This window comes from Homo sapiens, chromosome 9, assembly GCF_000001405.40.
Source record: "Homo sapiens chromosome 9, GRCh38.p14 Primary Assembly".
NCBI classification, from domain to species: domain Eukaryota; kingdom Metazoa; phylum Chordata; class Mammalia; order Primates; family Hominidae; genus Homo; species Homo sapiens.
Window position 1 is genome coordinate 18902044 of NC_000009.12, and position 22881 is coordinate 18924924.

Consider the following 22881-nt stretch of genomic DNA (forward strand, 5'->3'; position numbering starts at 1 on the left):
GGGTCAATATACCAAGAACATATAACAATTATAAACATGCATGCACCAAACATCAGAGCCCCAAAGTATATGAATCAAACATTGACAGAATTGATGGGAGAAATAATTAGTTCTATAATAGAAACTTCAGAAACCCACTTTCAACAATCGATAGGACAACTAAACAAAAGATCAGTAAAGAAACAGAGCAACTGAACAATACTATAAACCAATTGGAGCAACAGACATACAGAGGACTCCACCCAATAACAGCAGAATACTTGTTTTTTCTCAAGTGCACATGAAAAATTATCCAAAAAAGGACTATATGTTATGCCAAAAAATAATTCTTAATACAGTTCATAAGAATGAATGTATACAGAGTATCTTTTCCAACCACAGGGAAGGAAACTAGAAGTCAACAGCAGAAGTAAACTGGAAAATTCACAAATACGTGGAAATCAAACAAAACACAAACAGTAAATCAGTCAGAAAAGAAATAACAAGGAAAATTAGAAAATACCTTAAGACAAGTGAAAACAAAACCACAACATACCAAAATATATGGAGCACAGAGAAAATAGTGCTAAGAGAAAATTTTATGGCTGTAAATGCTTACATTAAAAAAGAAAGACTTCAAATCAACAACTTAACTTCACACCTTAAAAATTTATAGAAAATGAGCAAACTAAACCTAACGCTAGCAGAAGAGGATAATAAAGATTAGAGAATAGTAAAGAAAACTCAGCAAAACCAAAAGTAAATTCTTCAAAAAGACTAACCAAAATAGACAAACTTTTAGCTACATTGGCAAAGAAAAAAAGAGAGAAGACTCGAATTCCTAAAATCAGAAATGAAAATGGAGACATTACTACCAGTCTTACAGAAATAAAAAGGATTGGCCAGGCACGGTGGCTCATACCTGTAATCCCAACACTTTGGGAGTCTGAAGCAGGCAGATCACTTGAGGTCAGGAGTTCAAGACCAGCCTGGCCAACATGGCAAAACCCCATCTCTACTAAAAATACAAAAATTAGCCAGGTGTGTTGGTGGGTGCCTGTAGTCCCAGCTACTTGGGATGCTGAGGGTCAGGAATTGCTTGAACCCAGGAGGTGGAAGTTGCAGTGAGCAGAGATCACACCACTGCATTCCAAGATTCTGTCTCAAAACAAAAACATAAAAAGAAAAAGAAAAAAGAAACCAAGTATTAATCAAAAGTAAAGTAGACTGGAAAATTCAATCATGGTATGTTCATAAAATAAAGTGCTATACATCAATGAAAATGAACTTCAGTTATATACACAATACATAGTAAGAAAACACCAAATACAAAACAAACATGAAATATGGTTCATTTATGTAAATTTCAAAAACAGGCATAAACTAAACTGTTTTAAAAGTTAAGTCTCAGTGGTTACATGTGCAGATGAGGAAAGAGACTAGAGAGTAGACACAAAGTAGGCTCCTGAGTTGCTGACAGCATTTTATTTCTTCACGTGTATACAGGACTAGCTACATAATTTGTGGGGCCCAGTGCAAAATGAAAATGTGGGGCTGCTTGTTCAAAAACTATAATGAATGTCAAGGTTGACAGTAGAGCATCAAACCAACCACAGTTTCCTTCTAAGGGGGTAGAGACATCCATGCAGCTAGCTTTGCTTCTCTACAGTTGTCCCTTGGTATCCACAGGTGATTGATTGGTGTCAGGAGCACCTGCATATATCAAAATCCACACAAACTCAAGTCCTGCAGTCAATCTCACAGAACCCGCATATACAAAAAGTTGGCCCTCCACATACATGGGTTTCACATCCCAAGACCTTTGGTTGAAAAAAAAAAAAAATGTATAAGTGGACCTGCCCAGTTCAAACCCATGTTGTTCAAAGGTCAACTATACTCACTCTATAGTAACTCACTGAGATATACTTCATGTTTTAATCACTTTTTTTTTTTAGAGATGGGGTCTCACTATGTTGTCCAGGCTGGAGTGCAGTGGCTATTCACAGGCATGATCATGGTGCACTATAGCCTCAAATTCCTGGGCTCAAGCTTACTCTTGCCTCGGCTTTCTGCATAGCTGGGAATACAGGCATCCACCACCACACCTGGCTGTTAATCAGTTTTCTGTATGCACACTGTACTGCACAATAAAAAGTTATTTTTTGGCCAGGCACGGTGGCTTACACCTGGACTCCCAGCACTTTGGGAGGCCAAGGCAGGCAGATCACCTGAGGTCAAGAATTCAAAACCAGCCTGACCAACATGGCGAAATCCTATCTCTACTAAAAATATAAAAATTAGCCGGGTGTGATGGCACATGCCTGTAGTCCCAGCTACTTGGGAGGCTGAAACAGGATAATCACTTGTACCTGAGAGGCAGAGGTTGCAGTAAGCCGAGATTGCACCACTGCACTCTAGCCTGGTGACAGTGAGACTCCATCTGAGAAAAAGAAAAAAAAAGTTATTTTTAAAAATACGGTTAAAGAGAGAAATTTTAGCCACTCAGGAGGCTGAGGTCGGGGGATCAATTGAGCCTGGGAGGTGAAGGCTGCAGTGAGCTGAGATTGTGCCACTGCACTCCAGCCTGGGCAACAGAAAGAGACCCTGCCTCAAAAAAAAAAAAAAAAAAAAAAAAAAAAAAAAAAAAAAAGGTCCGTTTATGTGTATTTTACGATTTAAAAAAAATCCCAGTCATTGGTGTTAAGGGGGCTTTTTTTTTTTTTTTTTTTACATTTACCCCAACCCTCCATGTGTTTGTGAATAATAGTGTCAAACTGGGCCCTTCAGAGTCCAGAAGAGCAATAATTCGCCTTGGGCACAGCTGTCTGACCCAAGAGAGCTACTTTTACCTTAAATCCTGCTCTTTCAGTGGTTCTTAACCTTTGAGGTCATGGATCCCTCTGAGTACTTGATGAAAGCTAGAGGGAACCTCTTGCTAGAAAAAAGCCAATAAACACAAAACTTTTGCTTATACTGTTAAGGATTAACACCCCAGCACCACCCCCAGTGGAACCCTAGGGATCCAAAGACCCCCAAGTTAAGAGCCTTTGTTCTAAAGTGACCTCCATGGGATGCGTATCCTCTTGTTTTACTGAAATAGCAGATGTTGGCTACATGTTGGCTAAAGGCCTGCTGCTTTTGTATTTCACAGACAGTTGTTGCTAGGTGTATTTACTGTGACAGGGTCAGGCTCCATGAACTCTGGGGAAAGTTTAACAATCTCCATGAGCACATAGCAAGAGAATATGAGGGAGGACTCTGCATACCTAAGTCTGCTTTCTGTTCAGTCATCCTAGGTTTAACCTGCAGAAAATGAAGCCAGGGTAAGAAAGGATGGAGTTGGTTATTTGGATGACTTTAGCAAGAAAACGATAAACCATATTACCCTCTCTGCACCGAAGGGGTGGAGCTATTTAAGGGTCTTCAGTTCTAAAGTCTACTGCCACATTCCTAGCATATTATGCCAAAATATCTTTCATATGATTAATCTGAGAGGAGCTTGACGTTCTCTTACTGGTTCTACACTACCATTAGCCATTTGCTGGCAGAATGCCCACAGACCACAGGAAATCTAACCATCCCATAAAGAAAACGTATCAGTGAGTGTCTTTTAGTTAGCCCAAAGAGGGGAAAGATGAATGGTCTGAGAGCCTCCAACAAGACCTACACAAGGATCGTGCATGCCATGCAGCCCAAGCACGGCGGCCTCCACCCTTGACTTGGCTAATGTGCGGTATGTTACCTTTTTCTGCTTTCCAGTGCAATGGGCCTTGCATCGGGCCTCACCTAGCTGTGCAACACAGACAAGTCTTCTGCCAGACACGGGATGGCATCACCTTACCATCAGAGCAGTGCAGTGCTCTTCCGAGGTAAGAGAAAGCCCTGAATCTCCTTTTCCCAGCCCCATGTCAACAGCACGGAAAGATGGTGCTGAGTGAATGTTTCTCCTCCAACTAACTTACCACAGTCCCAAGCCCTGCCTGGGACTCCATCTCCATTCACCGCAAGCCACTGGCCTCCCCAGAGGCAGATGACTCAGTGTCGGTCTTGTGCTTATCTAATGGGCTAGGCTGGGCTTTTCTCTCTTAGTGATGAAGAGTGCAAGGGTGTTATTCTTCTGAGAGAGGCCTCATACCTCGAGAGACCTGCACTAGCCCCAGGGTGGTCAGGAGGTGAGGTCTGCACAGCGGCCACCAAGTCTCAAAGGCTCAAGCCCCTCACTCTTGTTGATCTCCCTCTAGAAGTTAGGCTAAGATGAGAGCCCTTGTTCCTGAGTCTCAACCTACCATTCCTATCCAGTCCCCATCCTTATGACACTTCCTTATAGATGTCCCCCTGGGGCACGGGGACTCACCACCCCCACCTAAGAGCCCAGCCTGTGAGACCAGGCTCTGCCGGTGTCCACATGGGGAGAGCTCATTCTTTAGTCATGCAGTGAGATCCTTATTCATTACAGAGAAGAGCAGATGGAGGCCCAGTAAGAGGAAATAGTCTTCTTGAGATCATATGGCCTTTTAGTAACAGCACAGAAATCAGAATCCAGGTCTAGTAACGCTGAAAGTTCTTGAGGAACCACCTAACATTTCTGAGTTTGCAGCACTATTTTCACATCTGCCCTGATTCAGCCCCCACAGAAGCAAACCTTAACCCTGCCACCATCCTCCTGCAGGCCTGTGAGCACCCAGAACTGCTGGTCAGAGGCCTGCAGTGTACACTGGAGAGTCAGCCTGTGGACCCTGTGCACAGCTACCTGTGGCAACTACGGCTTCCAGTCCCGGCGTGTGGAGTGTGTGCATGCCCGCACCAACAAGGCAGTGCCTGAGCACCTGTGCTCCTGGGGGCCCCGGCCTGCCAACTGGCAGCGCTGCAACATCACCCCATGTGAAAACAGTATGTTCCAACCCCAAAGAACCTTCTGCAAATTCCCCATAGAGCATCGAGTGCAGAGAGCAGTCCCTGGGACCGACCCTGAGCATAGGGCATGGGGTCAGCTTCCCCAGGGATTGTGAGCTGGTGGTGGAGTTGAGCATTTCAGTGGGGTGCATGGGTGTATGCAGAGAGGTGTATATAAGCATGACAGGGTATGCCCCAAGGGCTTCCATGATCTCCATCCTGGCCCTGAGAGAGCCAGGTGCTATTGGCCCAGTGCTGGAGGAAATCAGCCTCCAGTTCCCCTGCAGTCAGTCTGGCTGGTGCCCACAGGGTCTGACTCATCAACAACTCTCAGGGGCCAGGCTACTAAACAGAAAATGCTGTTAACTCTAAAGGAGCACAGAGTGCCTCCTGCTCAGCCAACCAGATCTGCGCCCATCACACCTCTGCTTCTCACCCAACAAGGACCAGCTGACCCCCTCCCTCCCAACCCCACAGGCATCCCCTGGAACTGTCCAGGACCCCCCAGCCTTGGAATTTGATACTCACTTCACTCCTTCCTCGTCATCCCAATACCATCATTTGTATTCCAGTTGGGAAGGAGTTTATTTTTTTCTTCCTCTGAACCCAAATCAGAGGTACTTACCCATGAGAAAGGTGGCAAAGCTTGAGGCAAAGAGTAGGAAGTAAAAACCAAATGTAGCTGTGCAGTTTTCTCCCCAACTGGGCCTCACTGAGCAATAAATTCCCAACACTAAGGCAGACGCCATGTAGGCAAATAGCCCACTTCTTTTTACACGCTGGGGGATGGATGATCTTTGTACTCGGGTAGTGTTAACCCATGTTTGTGTCAGTGGCTCACCATGCTCAGAGAGCGCCAATATTCAACGCACATAGTTAAAACTTACCAAACCAAGTCAGCACAATATTTAAGACCATCTAGTCTGTGCCAACACTGAACTAGAACGTCCTGGTGCTGTGTTTAAGGCATGATGGGTAGAAGGAAGAGAGACTGGAGGGCACATGAAAATAAAGCTTAACAGAGAAAGTAGGCCCAAGTGCCTGGGGATGGGGGCACCCGACGCAAGTCTCACTTCACACTCCTGCAAAGTCGGGGAGGATGCAGTGCTGGGAACCATCTTGAGGAGGAGAGTCATTTACTTAAAATACCAAAACCCACGGGAAAAGGCAGGTTTGCCTAGGGGGAGAGGTGATCACCTAGGAGATGAGGTAATCCCAAGAAGATAGAGAAAACAGGCACCTTCAGGAAGTAGAGGGAGCTGCAGAAAACAAGCAGACAGCCCAGGGAGGGGCCCCATCATTCAGCCAGACAGCTGCAGGCTGGTGCCACCCCTGCTGTTGGCAGCCTTGGGGAGCAAGTGGCTGAGCTCTGTCAAAGTTAGGCTGGAGAGCGGTGGCCAAGGCAGACCCCAGGATGTACCCCAGTGGCTGAAACCCCCGGCTGCACCTCACACAGGCTGCGTTCATTAGTCTCTGTTTCACATCTCTTTTCTGTCTCCTCTCCCGACCCCGTCCTCCTTTCCCAGTGGAGTGCAGAGACACCACCAGGTACTGCGAGAAGGTGAAACAGCTGAAACTCTGCCAACTCAGCCAGTTTAAATCTCGCTGCTGTGGAACTTGTGGCAAAGCGTGAAGATAGGGTGTGGGGAAAAACTCTACCCTGGCCACACGAAGGACTCACGCAACCACCTCGGACAGAACCTAAGCTTTCTTCATTTTATTTATTTATTTCCCCCTCCCCACTCCACACACACCCTTCCAACCTCCTCCACCTCCACCTTCAAGCATAAGGACGTCCGCGTGTTTTCTCTTTCAGTTAGCTGGAGGACAGGATGTTGGGAAAGGAAAGGACAGATGTCTAAAGGAGGTTGCAGAGCAGGCCAGGCAGACAGTGGGGGCTCCCTTGAAGAGCTTCCTCCCTCCCAAACCTGGGTCTCAAAGACCTAGAAAGAGGCAGGCACAGCCCCTGCGGACAGCAGGGAGCCAGAAGGTTTGTAGCCTATTGGTGCAAACATTGGACAAATTCCTGTGTCTTTCCTAGAAGCGCACTATCACAAACACAGGAGTGTTTTGCTCCTTTGTCTCCTCTTCCCCATCTATGTCCCTTTAGTCACAGTTAGGACAAATGGGGAGGGGACACCATGCTGAGGCAGAAACTAGCCCAGAACTCACTCAGTTCTTCTAGTGGGTGAGTGCAGAGAGAGAAGAACTCAGATCACCAGTAGGGAGAGGTAAAAAAGCAAACAAAGCAGGCTCTAAGGCACACAACATTGCAGAAAATGAGGAAGGGAGGGGAGGGAAGGGACAGAAGCAAAAAGGAGCCTGTGGTGTTCCCCAGTGGGGCAGGGTGAGCAGGGGCTTCCAGGCTGCATGAGGCTCATGGACCAGCTCTGATCCCATGCATGTGCGCATGCTCAGAGCCCTGCTGCCCACAACAGAGCACTGCGCTGCGTGGGAGTCCCCACTTCCCAAGCTATCAGAGTCAACGTCCTGCCTGTGCAGCTGCAGCAAAGCCAGTGAGAGGTGGGTCTCGCCATGCAGTAAGGCCACCCTGGCACCTCTTTATCTAAATCCGAAGTCCCCTAGCCCCGCACTAACTAACTGCTGCTGTGGGCCAGGGCCATTTTGAGCATGAATGGCCCAGGTTTTTTGCCTTCTAGGACCTTTGCTGCTCCACCGAAGGGCCAGGGACTATGGTTAACTTATCAACATCAACCCATTAACTAGTCACTGTGCCAGAGAGTATCTGTCAGGCTGTCAGGTTGTAGCAACCTCTTCATTCCAGAGCTGGCCCAGGGACCGGGGTGGGACAATGGGTTTATGCGTGTCCACAGTACACCCTCCCTCTCCCAGCCTCCACCCCAGGGTCTGCAGGTCCTCCGGCATGTAGTATTTATCTAGCAAGGCGGGGTGGTGGAGGCAGCACCCTGGCAAAGCAGCTCACACACTGCAGCCACACTCATCAGCTGTGGTGAGGCGGCTGGAGCAAAGTCAAAGTCATGCAGCAAAATGAAAACTCTGGGACTCTTCGGCAAAATCCTCATTAAGCCGAGCAGCTTTGGCCAAGTAATTTTTGCCTCCTTCCCTCGCGTGGCCTGAGTTTAGGAGCAAGGGTGGCCAGAGTCCCTTACCCACAGATAAGCCTCCCCTCATGAAATGCCACTCACCCCGGGCTACCATTGACATCAGGGCTGCATTTCCAGCCAGCCTGGAAGTAAAATTTGAGAGGAAGACAATATTAATCTGTGTCCCCACCTAGTGAGCTGTGGACAGGTTTAAGTTGGGTCTCCTTCTTCTTCACCACAAAAACAGGCTCTAAGAAATCATGTTACTAAAAAATCAGTGTAAAGTCTGTTTAAAATAAAAAAGAATGTTTTCTATGTCTGTATATCTTTTGTGAATATTTATTAGGATTTCTTATTAAAAAAGTGCAATATTAATAATTGTACATTGTCATCCAGAAACAAAACTATTGGGGGGACTTTATTAACTAACTTCCTGCAGTTGTGTTCCTGTAAACTCAGTAGTGATTATTATATTTTTCCTATTTTTAATAGAACCTGGTGTTTAACTCTGGATCCATTCACTGTACAGGATGTGTTGTAAAAACTAACATGGGATGCTGAGGCAGTAAGAGGGAATTCATTTGTGGCATAATAGTTATGCATGGAATGATAAAGACAGACAAATTCCATACTACTACTAATGTGGTTAATTATTTCTAGTTCGATAGTGATTGAAAATCAGTGGTCACTATTTACATTTCCTAAAGAGCAAGCATCCTCCAGCTCCATGTTGGGTTGGAGCAGTTGGCAGTGGGTCTCAGTGAGCTGGCAGAACCTAGGTTTGGGTGGGAAGCAGAATGCTCGTTGCATGAAATGAATGTACATTTAATGTTTGTTCTGTGAATTGCAACTCAGCAGCACCACAAGACAATGAAGGCTGCTGGCTAATGTGGAAGGAGGCACTTTCTCCTCTAAAACACAAAACTGTATTTGTATTTTTTGTACAGATAATACAGCTTATTTATTTAAATCTTGTCGTCTGAGTCTCTGTTAAACTCAGCCTTCCTTCCCCTGGTGGTTTATGCAGGGAGCAAGAGAAGTCCCTGTCAGTTGGGTGGTTCCCAGCCAGTTATTTGCGTCTGGCTGAAGTGGAAGGATTGCAGTTTTCATCTTTACACAGGAAGCTGGGGGCCCATGCCTAGAAGTGCTAGCTCTGTAAATAAACCCAAAGAAGCTGCGTTTGTAGATGTACACACATTCAGGCTGAGTGCAGCCAAATGAGACGACAGTTAACTCACTGACAGCCCTATGTGGTGGGAAGATGGGAGCCACAGTACCTTCGGGAAGTGAAGCAAACAGGGACATCGCTTGGGAGAGATGCAGACTTGGGTGTGGAATTATCCTCACTCATCAGGCTTCCTACCAACAGAGACACACACAGCGGGAGGCAGCTGCATGGTGAAAGTTCGGATGTATGCTATTAATAAAGACTAACACTTATAGATCACAACTACATTTAATCCTCACATTAGCCCTATGATTATCTCCATTTACATATGGGAAAATAGCAGCCCAAAGAAGCCCAAGGTCACCCAGCTGGGGGAACTAGGATTGAAAGTCAGGCAGTCCTACTCTAGCCGAAGACTCGATTTGACCCACCATGCTGCCTCCAACCCCGCTGCCTGCAACTGCTGTGCCACAGCCACCTTGGGCACGCATGCCATTCTTCCCTACTGCTTTAAGGTCGGTCAATGACAGTAACAGGACATTTTACTGAAATTGTCACTTTCTCCTACCCTAAAGGCAGTTCTTTTACCATGATAGCACTTCTAGCTCCCTATTTTTAAAGCATTTTAATAAAAACAGCTACTGTAGGAAGTGCGGGGGGGAAACAAGCACACCTGTAGAACTCTTTATAAACAGGCCCTAGTGAAAGGGCAGCATGTTGCCGGGCGGAGAAGATGTCCATGCAGAGTCTATGGTGAGAGCTGCTCCAGAAAGCCCAACTCCAGCCGGTCTGCCAGCAGCTCGCCCCGGCACACCACAGGCCTGTCGAACAGTGTGAAAATATACCAGAAAGCTCTTCTTGACATTTCAGTTACTTTTTTAAGAGGTTTTAGGTTTTGCTTTAAAGAAAAAGCCAATGCTAAAACTATACCTATTCACAGACCAGCAACCAAACAATGTCTTACAGAGGCCCCACGGCAGGAGGGAGGAGCTGGAAATGCCAGAGCAAAAACCCAGTAAGGCTCAAATGGTGGGAAGGGCCCCAATACAATGTATGTAAATTTTTCCAGCCAAAAGCACAGAGTCCTTGCTTAGCCTCAAAGATTTCCAGGAAATCCCTGATCCCATTAAGATCAGAGTGGTCGACAGTCACTGAATCTCATTTATGCCTCAGTTTCTTCTTCCTGCAACAGCATACCTCATCAGGTAGGGCTGTGTGAAAACCATTAGTTAATTCACATTGAACTGCTTGAACCCAGGAAGCAAAGGTTGCAGTAAGCCAAGATCACACCACTACACTCCAGCCTGGGTGACACAGCAAGACTCCATCTCAAAAAAAAAAAAAAGCTTGGGGGGTATCTGGCATATCATCGAAGCACTTATTGACTGTTAATTGCTATTATCATCAGCATCATCTAAGTTACCTTGGAAGAAACAGGGAGATGAAGGGCAGGGCTGACAGAATTTTTGATATTTTACATTACTTCCCATTGTCAGCTTTGAAAGACTCTCCCATGTTTCCATTTTTAATTGAGAAGAAAATCAATTGCTCCTTCAAAGCTCAATACTACACAACAGCCAGGCACAGTGGCTCACACCTCTAATCTCAGCATTTTGGAAGGCCAAGGCAGGAAGATCCCTCGAGGAGTCTGAGACCAGCCTAGACATGGCGAGACCATGTCTCTACAAAAAAATTTTTAATTACCTGGGTATGGTGGCTCACACCCGTAGTCCCCAGCTTCTCAAGAGCCCTGGAGCTCAAGGCTGCAGTCAGCTATGGCCAGGCTACTGCACTCCAGCATGGGTGACAGAGTTAGACCCTATCTCACAAAAAAAAAAAAAAAAAAAAGAAAAAAAACTACACAAAAGTATAAACAAGAAAGACATCAATGAACCAAGTTCTATGTGTTGGAAGAAAACCTATCAATCCAGGTAGCCAACTCAAAACCTCACCAAAAAACTGACAAACTTCCAGAAATATTACCTCCCAGGAGAAATGTTATAATTCCAATGTACTGCCTAGACTCAACTCAGAACACCCAAATGTACACATAACTACCATTTCCTTCAAGTAACTAAAAAGTATGGAGAAATATTCATTCATGGGCAAATATACAAGTAAAAGCTAAAACTAAGGGTATTTCACTTGCAAGTGGTTGAGTTTTTCATAAATAACATGCAGTTATCCCCTCACTTCATCCTGCAAATGAACCCAAAGAAATAGTCCACCTTTATTGATGGTTTTCAGCTAAAATGAGACAAGTTAGATTTCAATCATCTGTTAGTGGCATTCCCAAAAGAATTCAAAGCCATCTACAAAGGGTCAGGGAATGGTGGGGTAGAGAAAAAGATGGAGCACTTCAGAAGTAACCTAATGAAAACTGACCTGTTAGGTGAATTAACCCAGGGAAGGATAAATCAGGAAACAAAATAAGGCATAACTCCCCTTTGGTCTTGTCTCTCTGTGTTCCTCATTTTGTTCCGTAAACCCACTATAACGTATAGACTTCAGGATTCAGATTCAGTCTGCACTGAATGTGAGTTAAATCAGAGAAGGTTATATCTACCCACATCACATACTGCCAATTAGGACAATATTGGTGTTGATTGATGTAAGGCCTTGAAGTAAACAGTAAAGACTTGAATACCCAAAGAATTCTACAATCCTCCAAGTTTAACCTCAAATTATTGTCTGCTCCCCACTCACCCAGTTCACTTGGAGATGCTTTTACAAATCAAATGTGTATGAGCTTGTCAGAGACTGTTCTCTTTGGCCAAACCTCAGTTTATTCATAGCACCCCAAGATTTTCAGCTGTTTTGTTGCTACCCCAAAACTGAAAGGCAGATATTGGTAATCAAGCCTTTGCTAAAAGAACTGGGCTGCTGCCTTGTCAACTCGTTTTACAATTTCACTCAGATTCTGTAAAGCACCTGGTCCCAACCAAGCACGTGTCACACCTCTGATAACACAATATACAGATGTCACTCACCTCTGTGTTTTCAAAAGGCAAATTCCATCTCCAACCTAGGATTTCCCAGGCTGCCCCTAAAGATATGGTTTATATGTGTATAAACAGAAATTAAATGTGAGGTTTTATGTGAGTGAGGAAAAAGCAGACAGTCAGGAATGGTTCTCCTGCCGAACATAAATAATGTTTGTTTAAGCAGAATGCTTAGGAGAGCCTGAGAGATTGCATGATCAACATTCAGACCAGAAAGCAGAAAGCCTGGGAAACCTGCCTCCCTCTCCGGAACTTCATGATGGCCAGGGTGGCTATCGTTAGAATGTTACGTTACAAATCCTGTGAAGCATAGTAGACAAGCTGTGAACAACTTAGTTACCAGGTGAGCAAGTTGAGGAAATGTCTAGTGGTGAAGCCCAGGAGTGTAGTGATAAAGCTTGGTTTTCTTCTCCTAAGCCCTGATCATCATTTTTTAAATAACAGTAGAAGGGCCAGGAAATGGCTTGGCTGAGGCTAGTGAAGAATGGCAAAATTGTTCTTCAGTCACCCATCTACAGACAATCCCTGAATTACGATGGTTTGACTTACAATTTCTCAACTTTACACAATGGTGCCAAAAAAATACACGTTCAGTATACTTCTTCACTGACAGTGGGGCTATGTCCAAATAAACTCGTCATAAATTTAAAATACTCTAAGTCAGAAACACACTTTTCATTTCTGATATTTTTGACTTATAATAGGTTTATCAAGACATAACTTGATTATTGAGGAACATCTGGGTTCTGTCTCATGGCTGGAGGTCAGCATGTCTCAGTGCCAGAGCACAGGGCAGGTGCCAGCTCCATGGACTCCTGAGCTGAGTTTCTTCAGCCTGCACACGCCCCTCCCTACTACAGTGAAGAGATTCAAGGTAACCCCCTAAAAGCAGGCCCCCATGACCTGAATCCTCCACACTCTTTGCACAGTGAGGGTTTGCCTTCGTACTTGGCCAAGTATGAAGCAGGGATGGAAAACAACCAAAGTCCTCATCTAGCCCTGGTGGTCCTCGCTCAACCCTTCCCAGATGAGTGTCCATCCCTTCTCATCTCATCTTCTTCTCCCTGATTTCTTTTTCCATGACATACCTTTCCTTTTCCTCAGAGTTTAACACACTTTGCTAAGCACCAACTCTGGGCTCCAAGGACACAGGGATGAGAGCCTAGTCCCTGCTATCAGGGAGCTCACAGTCTAATTGGGAAACAGACACATCCCACAGCAAATGACAGTGTGTCCTACCACAGTTATGAAGTCCAGGTTCTGAGGAATCTCCAGCTCTTCTCCCTCATTTGGCCCCTTCCACAGTCAGCACCCAGTGATTGCTCTATTTATTCGTAATCTTCTCTCATTGAGGCATTTGCAAAGGTCTTCTAACTGGATTATTTAAATCTACTCTGGTCTCTACCAATCCACTTTCCACACAACAGCTAAAACTATTGTTATATTGCCTATAAAACTTCAGTATAAACTGATATATATGTATAAAATTAACTTAAATCTGTACTCTTGGGGCAGTTAGATAACATTTAAAACACCCAATCATAAATCCACCCTCCAGAAGTGGCCATCCGAAGTATTTCAAATATTATTATCTAAATCTGCACTAGAAAGTTCATTAATTATACAAAGTTTATTAGTCACACAGTAGTAAAATACGCTGTGTTTGAGGACTGGAGAGAAGAAACGAACATGACTACCCTTGTACAGATAATCTGAGAATCCAGCTACTATCGTTTGAACGTGCCCCTACTCACTCCAAAATTCAGCTGTTGACAATGTGGTGGTATTAAGAGGTGAGGCTTTTAAGAGGCAATGAGGTCATGAGGGCTCCTCCTCTCATGAAGGGGGTTAAGCTCCCTAAAGAGACTTCACAGAGGGAGTCCATTTCCTTTCTGCCCTTCTACCTTCTGTCATGTGAGGACACAGCATTCCTCCCTTCTGGAGGATGCAGCATCAAAGGCGCCATCTTGGAAGCAGAGAACAGTCCTCACTGGCACCTTGATCTTGAACTTTCCAGCCTCCAAAACTGTGAGAAATAAATGTCTGCTCTTTATAAACTACCCAGTCCGTGGTACTCCTGAGAGCACAAATCAACTAAAACACCAGCAAACCCAGTAGCCTGATGATCCAAGTCTAGTGTTGTCTTTGGTTCTATGTGCCCAACTCTGTTTGCCTGGTCTGAAGAGGGAAGTTTTTGGCTAATCTTACTTTAGGAACATTCACTTTAGAGTAACTAACCATTTATCAGGGTGCCTAGGGTTGGACAATAAGACTTATTCAAGTTCAGGGAGCAGGTTACACAAGTACTTTGGACCAGTTTGCTAGCATTTATGCCCATGCCAGAATTTGGACTGAGACTTGTTTTCATTGTAACACACCACCTCAGGTACTGAGACTGTGTGGGTGGAGACGCAGCCTCAGCCTCTCATGGATGGGAGCTACCCATCTTCACCATGATAACTTGGGAACTGCTGATCAACAAAAATGGCTTAAATCAGTTCATAAAAGACCTTCCCAAAACACGGTTTGAATGTTATCAGTCCTGTGCTTTAAAATCTTTATACCTTCCCACTGTAGTTAGGACTGAACTCCTTAAAATATCCTGAAGCACCTTACAACAGCCCAGCCTCATTTCTGGCCACTCTCTCTGGGTGGCTGGCCTCAGTTCCATGAAGGCCCCATTCTCCTTCCACTCTCCACCTTCTCATGAGCCATGGAATAGCAACCACCACACCCACAACCATCCACTCTTGTTAAATCAGGGCAGGGCAAATATGGAGGCTACAAAATCCATGTTACATAAAGTCTTTAAATATTGACCAATTATCCAATTCTTTTCCCCACCGCCTTGCAGCAAAGGCAGAGAGCTGGGCCCCTCCATCTTTGATAGCCTTTAGAGTTGGATGCTGCCTGAGATCCAGAGTCACCATCAAGGGTACAGAATCCTATCTTCACAAAGCTACCTGCCCCCCTCACCTCTCCTCCATTTCCCCATGGCACACTTCCAGGGCACACTAATTTCAGGGCCAGGTCTGGATTTGTGGTGGAAACATAAAATTATATTATTTATTGTATAATTATTTACAACCTCTCTTCTTCTAACTGATCTTTTGTCTTGCTGAAAAACTGATCTTTTGTTTTGCTGAAAAAATGATGGGTGGGAATACAAAAGAAAGTGACCAAGAGAAGACTAAATTGCATGACATGATAAAGGATGAAGAAATCCTAAGGGACAAGATCTGGCTAATTGGCTGGAGAGGCCTGGGATGAGGAGACACAGGAGAAAAGGGAAGGAAGGGAAAGAAAAGGGAGGCAGGTCACATTTCAGCTGATACTCACAATCTCAGGAAGCTATTCCCACTGCCTGAGCTAACTCCCATCCTCCCTTCTCCCTCAAAGCACACAGCACAGCTACTATTACTTATCCAACCCTGGTGCTGGTAACCTTGACTTTAGAAAACCCTTCCTCGAGGATGTCAGAAAAGACCCCTTTCTCCCTAAAGGCTGTGGGACAGAAAAGGGAAACAGAGGAAAGGCTTTCAGAAATCAAGGATGTTGCAATCACTTCTCAGGGACCATGGCAGGAAGCAGAAGTGCAAGACCTTCTTCACTGCAGGTTCTCCTCAAATCCCCACCATACCTCAATTCCCAGAAGCAGCTTGTAGCGATCCCACCCTCATCCTTCTCCATGGATGATAGTTCTGTCCTTTCAGTCACTTAAACCCAAAATTGTGGCATCGTGCTCAGTCCTCTTATTCCCAGCTCACATCCAATCAGCAACTTCATGTGGCCCGCCTTTGAAACACATGCAGAACGTGACACTTTTCTCATGGCCCCCACTTCTCCCCACCAGGTGTGAGCCTGCATTGCCTTCTATGGAATAAGCCTTCTACTAGGCCTTGCTTCTACCTGTGCTCCCCTACAGCTGGTGCTCCCCTACAGCATGTGCTCCCCTCCATAAGCAATCAGGGTGACCACAGTGATGATTTTCACAGACACCAGATCTTGGCACTTCTCAGGTCCAAGCTTGATGTTGGCACCCCTCAGAATATGAGCCAAATTCCTGGCAATAGCCTGTGAGGTGCTCACTGGCCTCCTCACTGCTCTCTGAACACAGCTAGACAGAAACATGCCCACCTTAGGGCCTGTGCTCTAGCTGCTCCCTGACAGACACTTGGCTCCTTCTCTCATCTCCTACTTCAGGCCTCACAAATCTCACCTTCTCAATGAGGCCCTTCCTGATTGCTCCATTAACTAAAACCTGTGCCTCCCAGAACCTGAGCCTCTTCATCCCAATGACCTTTTCCTTGTTGCCTTCTGACATATCAGATCATTAATATGCTTATTATTTAGTATGTGTTATTTTAATTATACATTATATAATTGCTCATTATTTATTATGCTTATTTATTATTAATGTTTATCTCCCCCTCACTAGACCATAAGCTCCACAAGAGCAGGATCTGAGTCTGCTCTGTTAACTGATGTAGGCCCAAACACCCAGAAGAGTGCATGGCACCCAATAGACGTTTTTGGAAAGAATGAATAGGTGTAAGTACATATATATGGATGGATAGGTGGATGGATGGGAGGGAGGGACGGAGGCAGGGACGGAGGGAGGGAGGGAGGGAGGGACGGAGGGAGGGAGGGACAGAGGGAGGAACGGAGGGATGTGGTCAATGCTATGACAAGGCATTCCATCCATCCTGATGACCAGAGCTAAGTCAGCTGCGAGGGTTTGTGGAGGAGGAAGTAGGCAGATCTATGAGGTGGCGGTTTACATGACAGGACATATGGAGGGAGAAGACAGGGTTCCTGAGTCCCCACCTACCACACAGGGAACTCACTGGACAAGTAGAGAAAATGAACGCCTGGAAGAAGCTGAAGACCACCTGGGGGCCATCTGGGCAGGCTCCCTGGGAGGTGCCCTGGGACAAGAGAATGTTAGAATGACTGACCCAGGACTCTGAAAGAGGGGCTGCACAGGGTGGGGAAGGGCACTGTGATAGTCTTAAGTCAGGCAGGTTCCCGGAGCCCACGGGAAACAAAAGTAGGAGTCTCATGGAATCTTCCTGAGCTTCTTAACCAAGAAGATAAATGCTTCCTAAATACCATCGTTTGGGGTTTTATAAGACAGACTCCAAGATGTGACTATGTGTTACCAAATCACAAGACAAAAATATGTTTTTCCTTGGTGTATCCAAAGGAATTGTTTTCTAGAGTGAAGAGAATCCAACCTAAAGTGATTAACTGTTTCAAACCAAGAACTTAAACACTGAATGATCTCTTCAAATAACCTTCAACTCCTGGCTGTAATCATTCCTTTTTACAGATTAGTCTTATAAATAAACATCGTGTAAAAAACCCCCATTGGAATCTAATCAACATTTTTGTATCTGTGTTCCCAGAAGCAATTATTGAATAGATCTGGATGCTAACTCTATATTAGGTACAGTGGAAGATCATACACAAACACACACACACACACACACACACACACACACACACACGGTTACTGTTCCTAAAGTTTTTTCAACCTATTTCTTAGGTCATACACCTGTAAACTGCATGCCCCTTTAAAAGTATTCCAAAATTCATTCTTTTCTCTCAATCTGAATGAAGAGATTATTCTTGCATCTCTCTAGCGCTCCCCTTCTTCCAAGGTACCGTTCAAAAACTACTGTCCACAAGGTTTGTTTTACAAACCTCATTTCCTCTAATCCCCTGAGCAATCCTGTGAGGACTTTGCCAAGTTGTATGACCTCTCTGAGCCTCAGTTGCCTGCCTGGAAAGGCAGGAATAACAACAGAGAGGGGTTGCGTGGATTGAATGAGATGGGATGTGCTGGTGCTTTTAGAACTCGAAGGGGCTTTACGCAAGTGATACTCGCATGAGTCCATTGTCCATCATAAATGAATTTTCCCAGGCCCTCTGTGTCCTGCATTTTGGCTGTACCATAACCTCTCATTTATCAAGAAGCCAAATGATCTAAACTGTCAACAACCAGGATATTTTAACACTCAGAGCTGACCCTGAGAAGCTACAGGATCCAATGAGATTTCTGAATCATAAAAGATAGATTGAACTACGTGTCTGCATGGCATGTGTATTTTATTGTATTCTAAACTTATTTGAAAAATTTATGATGAGTACTTGGCAGTACTTCTCCATGTGTGTTCCAACAGGTTTTACACAATAAAAGGGCTCTCTCGTCAGAGCTGAAAAATGTTGCTTCCTCCTGCTCAATGTTCATCCCTCCCTTCCCTGGAAACTACACCTCAGTTTTCCTTTGGGGACCCACCCCACCCCTTCAGCCCTCATGCAGTTCATGTAGTTCACACGAGATTGACCCCACACATACACACTGCTCCGTCCAGGGGTGGACCCCAATTCAAGCCTGGATGATTAGTATCTTCTATTGCTACAATGATCAGCTCAGGGATCAGCATAAAACTCAAGCCCAGCAAGACTCAATTCAGGTACTTTTACTGGAACCACTGGGAAGCAAAGGCCCTTTTCTCTCCATTGGGATTACTAGCTAAAAGGATGTTGTAAGGCCTATGTAAGAGGGCATTGTAGAAGAAAACAAAGCCAAAAGGTGAAGACCAAGACCTCACTGTATCCCTGACACCCCTGGTTCCAGCTATGCCTAAAGTCAACAGAGAAAGCCCTAGACTGTTCAACTGCCTGAACCAATAAATCCTCTTTTTTGCTTAAGCACTTGTAATTGCAAGAATGCTGATTCATACACTGGGTTATACAAAGTTAAACAAGGTTTCTTTACTATAGGGCTTCACAGAGCCTTCAAAATATTAACATGCATTATGAATCTCCAACAGGGAGATATAATATACAGCACTACTCAAACTTATGTGTCCAGTGAATTTTTTTTGTAAGACCATATCATAAGGCTTGTATTCCATAGAAAACACCTTGGGAAAGGCTAATACATATTACCTATAGGTTAACCGAATATTAAAATACTACAAATCCCTATTCCCTTATTATTCTGGATAAATGAGACAAATGGGAATTCATTTATCCAACACTGTTGATGCATTTTTCCAGACTTTAAAAATGTATGTATATAATTTTTTATTCTTTTTTACTAAATTGGGGTCATAAGCACAAACCATGGTATATTTTTCCAGACTTAATAAAACATGTGTGTATATACAGTCTTTTTTTTATTATTATACTGGGGTCATAATTCCTGAGCTGCTATACTTTTGAGTTCTGCATTTTAAAATATTTTGGGCCTCTAGTCTCACTGCCAAGCTATCAGCTGTCACTTTGCTTTGTTTAAATGTGTCTACCTCTAGCAGCAACCTCTAGTGCTCTGCTGTGAGCTAGTAAACAAAATGAAAGAAACTCAATGGAATTGTGTGTTTAAAAAACAAAAGTCGGGGACGGGGGCAGTGTGCTGAGAGTAAGAGCCAGGGTAGGGGTATGCACTGAGTAGAGTACCTAAGTTTCTGTACGTGAAATCTCTGTCGATGTGTCGATGATTTTGGCAATTTAAAAGTCACTTATTTCCAGGTTCCTGCCTTGGTTTTGGACAGCTAAAGTTTCTAAATAACTGACCTTTGAAGATGGGAATTGTTATACTACTTAGCCAAGAAAAGAACCACTCCAACTTGATAGTAAGCACTGAACTCTGCTTAGGAACTTTAAAATGAAAAATTCTTTTTTTAAGGCCAGGAGCATTCATAGTCCAAAAATTCCATTTCTTCATAAGTCATCCATTGGCACAGAAGTCAAATTTCAGTCATTTTTCAGGCATTTTTTTCTGCCTATAACTCTCAAGTCACTGCCTGTTTAAAGGGTATTTGCGGACTCCCCTGTTTTATGATCTTATAATAAAATAGATGGGGATTTGAAGCAACAGGGAGGTAACTAAACTCCCTTGTTGTCGTTGTAAGTATAGCCTTGGCCTTAAGAAGGTAGGCAGAGGCATAGGCAGGCAGGCTGGCTGGTCTGGGTAACATGAAAATCAGTGTTAGATTCAATCACAGCAGTGGAAACTCTCAAGTCTTTTTATTTGCATCAGGCTGGGTTTGCAGCCACACTTAGAGGGTTGACAAGGAAAATGCATCAAGATTTCTCATGTAAGTATCTAAGGATCCAGAGGCTTCAAGAACCAGGGCACCTGCAGCCCAGTAGTGTGGCTGAAAGAAGGGCCTAACCTCGCATTGCCCTGATGCGTTTTCCAGATTCCGGAGCACATGTTCTGGAAGGGTCACGGGCTCCGGGGCTACTGTTGCACCCTCAAAGTGGGGAGGAGCCAAGTACCTGCTCAGACAGCCATGTGCAATTCTAAACCTGCTCTGCCAAAGAAAACACCCCTGTCTGCCCCAACCCCAGCATTTATGCTCAGAAAGGCCTCTGTCTTCCCACTTTGAGGGCTGCTGACCAGATGTGGACCTGGGTGAAGGCAGGGCAGGTCTGAGGAGCCAGGAGGTCATTAATCCTCAATTAGGACTGTGCACACCCCTGCCTGCTCCACCTACTTCCTCTTGACAACTGCACAGCTAAAAAGCACTTTCAGAGGAAATGGATCCCTCAGTTCATCTTCTGGACGAGTCATTTTGGAAAGTGTTTTTGTGCAGATCTCATTGCCCTGGGCCAGTTAGCTCCACTCAGAGGCCAAGGCAGGCAGATCATGAGGTCAGGAGATCGAGACCATCCTGGCGAACATGGTGAAAGCCTGTCTCTACTAAAAAAAAATACAAAAAATTAGCCAGGCGTGGTGGCGGGCATCTGTAGTCCCAGCTACTCGGGAGGCTGAGGCAGGAGAATGGCATGAACCCAGGAGGTGGAGCTTTCAGTGAGCCGAGATCGCGCCACTGCGCTCCAGCCTGGGTGACAGAGCAAGACTCCGCTAAAAAAAAAAAAAAGGCAGAAAAAGGAGGGTCTTATTCTCAATATCTACGTTACTTCATTTCAATTTTAGGGCAATGAGACTATAATGAAAAGGCAGTTAGAAGTCACACACAAAAGCCAAACCCTAAGATGGGACAGGCAGTGCTGGCTCCCTCAGCTCAGACCCCAGCCAGGACTGTTGCCCCTGATGTCAGAATTGGGCTGTGGTGTCTGCTCAGCTGCCCCTGGTCTGCTGATGCTATCTGAGAGGGTGTGGAGGCAGACAGCTGGAGCAGAGGATGGAGGTGGGAGAGCATAGCCTCAGGGAATGGCCTGGGGTTCAGGGGTTAGCAACCCCTCCCAGGGTTCTCTTCACCTGCACACACCAGTTAGCCTGGTGCTTATTCTGCTCCAGGTTTGCCCTTCTGCCCAGTCAGAGCCAAAGTCACCCTCCAGGTATGCTTTGCAGTTGAGAAGACTCTGGTAAAAGCCCATGAGCGCTTCACCCCCTCCAACTGGCTCTAGGCCAGGTCTAGCAACGGGCTGCCTGCCTGTGCTTACTCCTTCCCACTCCTCACTCACATGATACTAAACCACAGCAGAGGAATAATGAAATATAAAATGCCATCATGAAGAAAATGGGAGGAATGTCCTCAAAGGACAAGGGATTTCAAGAAACCTGAAGAAGGCAGGTGAATGCTGGAGTGATGACTGACAAATGTATAAGAGGAAGCCACAGCCTGGAATGAAGACACGGCCAGGGAGCTGGAGCTGCAGAGAATGGGGTCTATGGACAGAAGCTGGTGGGGCTCAGGATTTGAAATGACAGGTACCACAGAGGGCAGGGGAGCAAGTGGTGCTATAATCAGGGGCATCACTAACAAGGGACCTATCCTTCCCCATCCTCCAACCACTGTCCGGCACAAGAGCTTGAAGCCAGGCCAAAAAATGAGGCTCATCTTTAAAGACATTGATTCCTGAGAAAATGCAGCCAGCAGTAGAATGAAGAGTCCTTTAAGCTGATTTGGTGCTATATTCAGACCTTAATGGGGAGGGGATTGGAAAGTGAATTCCTGATCCCCCCAAAATGAAGGCAAAGTACCAGAATCTCCACCCACACAGGTGGCCCCAGTGTAACGTGAACCAAAGGACAAGGCCTACCCTGGTCACCTAGCCTGCTGACAGGATGGCAGACCTGCCCATAGCCTGAGGTTGTCAGATACCACCATCTTAAGAGGACTGCATGCCCAGCAGACGCCCCTGGGCACCGTACCCTAAACCAGCAGACCACTTCCAGCCAGCCCAGGGCTCCACACAAAGCCCACTCTTACCAGCCAATCAACCTCACTAGAGAATGTCCTTTCCTCTGATAGACTAGAATTCACCATCTTTCAGCTGTAAAAGTTCGACTCTCATTTTCTGCCCCAGAACCTCATCCCCAAGAACCTACTCAATCCTGCATTGAAACAGCCTTCCTGCATAGCCATAACACTTTTTTCCCTTCTGTTCTATTATATTAATATCTTTGACCTCTAGTCATTTTTATTTAATGGCACACCTAAAGTTTTGGGAACCCTGGGCTAGGGTAGGTGATTAAGCTCCCAATTCATTCTCGTAAGTGGAAGATATGCAGTATAAGCATGTGCACACATTTTTGAGAGAAGACAACATGTTTGAAGGTTTCCCGTTGTCAGATTTGTTGAATCAGATCATACCAGGTACAGGGCAGTGTGTGCACATGTGTGTGCCTGTCCTTTCATCACAGAGCCTTTTACCAGCAAACTCAATATGGAAGCCCAACACACAGACCTGCTAAAGAGGTGCATGAATTAGAACTGAGAAGGAAACCAGTGCCCCATCTGCTCAGCTCCGCTTTCCTCCTCGTGGCCCAGTTGCTTTCTCAAACCAGATT

At 45.2% G+C, this 22881-nt stretch overlaps 1 protein-coding gene across 12 annotated transcripts in view; it reads left to right on the forward strand.

The window, feature by feature from the left end:
* ADAMTSL1 (ADAMTS like 1) overlaps positions 1–8907 on the forward strand; it is a 1004318-nt gene extending 995411 nt beyond the window's left edge. For all 12 annotated transcript variants that reach the window (XM_011518064.4, XM_017015312.3, XM_011518063.3 and 9 more), the window contains 3 exons: positions 3739–3848; positions 4649–4869; positions 6399–8907. In XM_011518064.4, the coding sequence (XP_011516366.1) occupies positions 3739–3848; positions 4649–4869; positions 6399–6505 (438 nt within the window). In that variant the 3' untranslated portion in view covers positions 6506–8907. The remainder of the gene's footprint in view (positions 1–3738; positions 3849–4648; positions 4870–6398) is intronic.
* The last annotated feature ends 13974 nt before the right edge of the window (positions 8908–22881 follow it).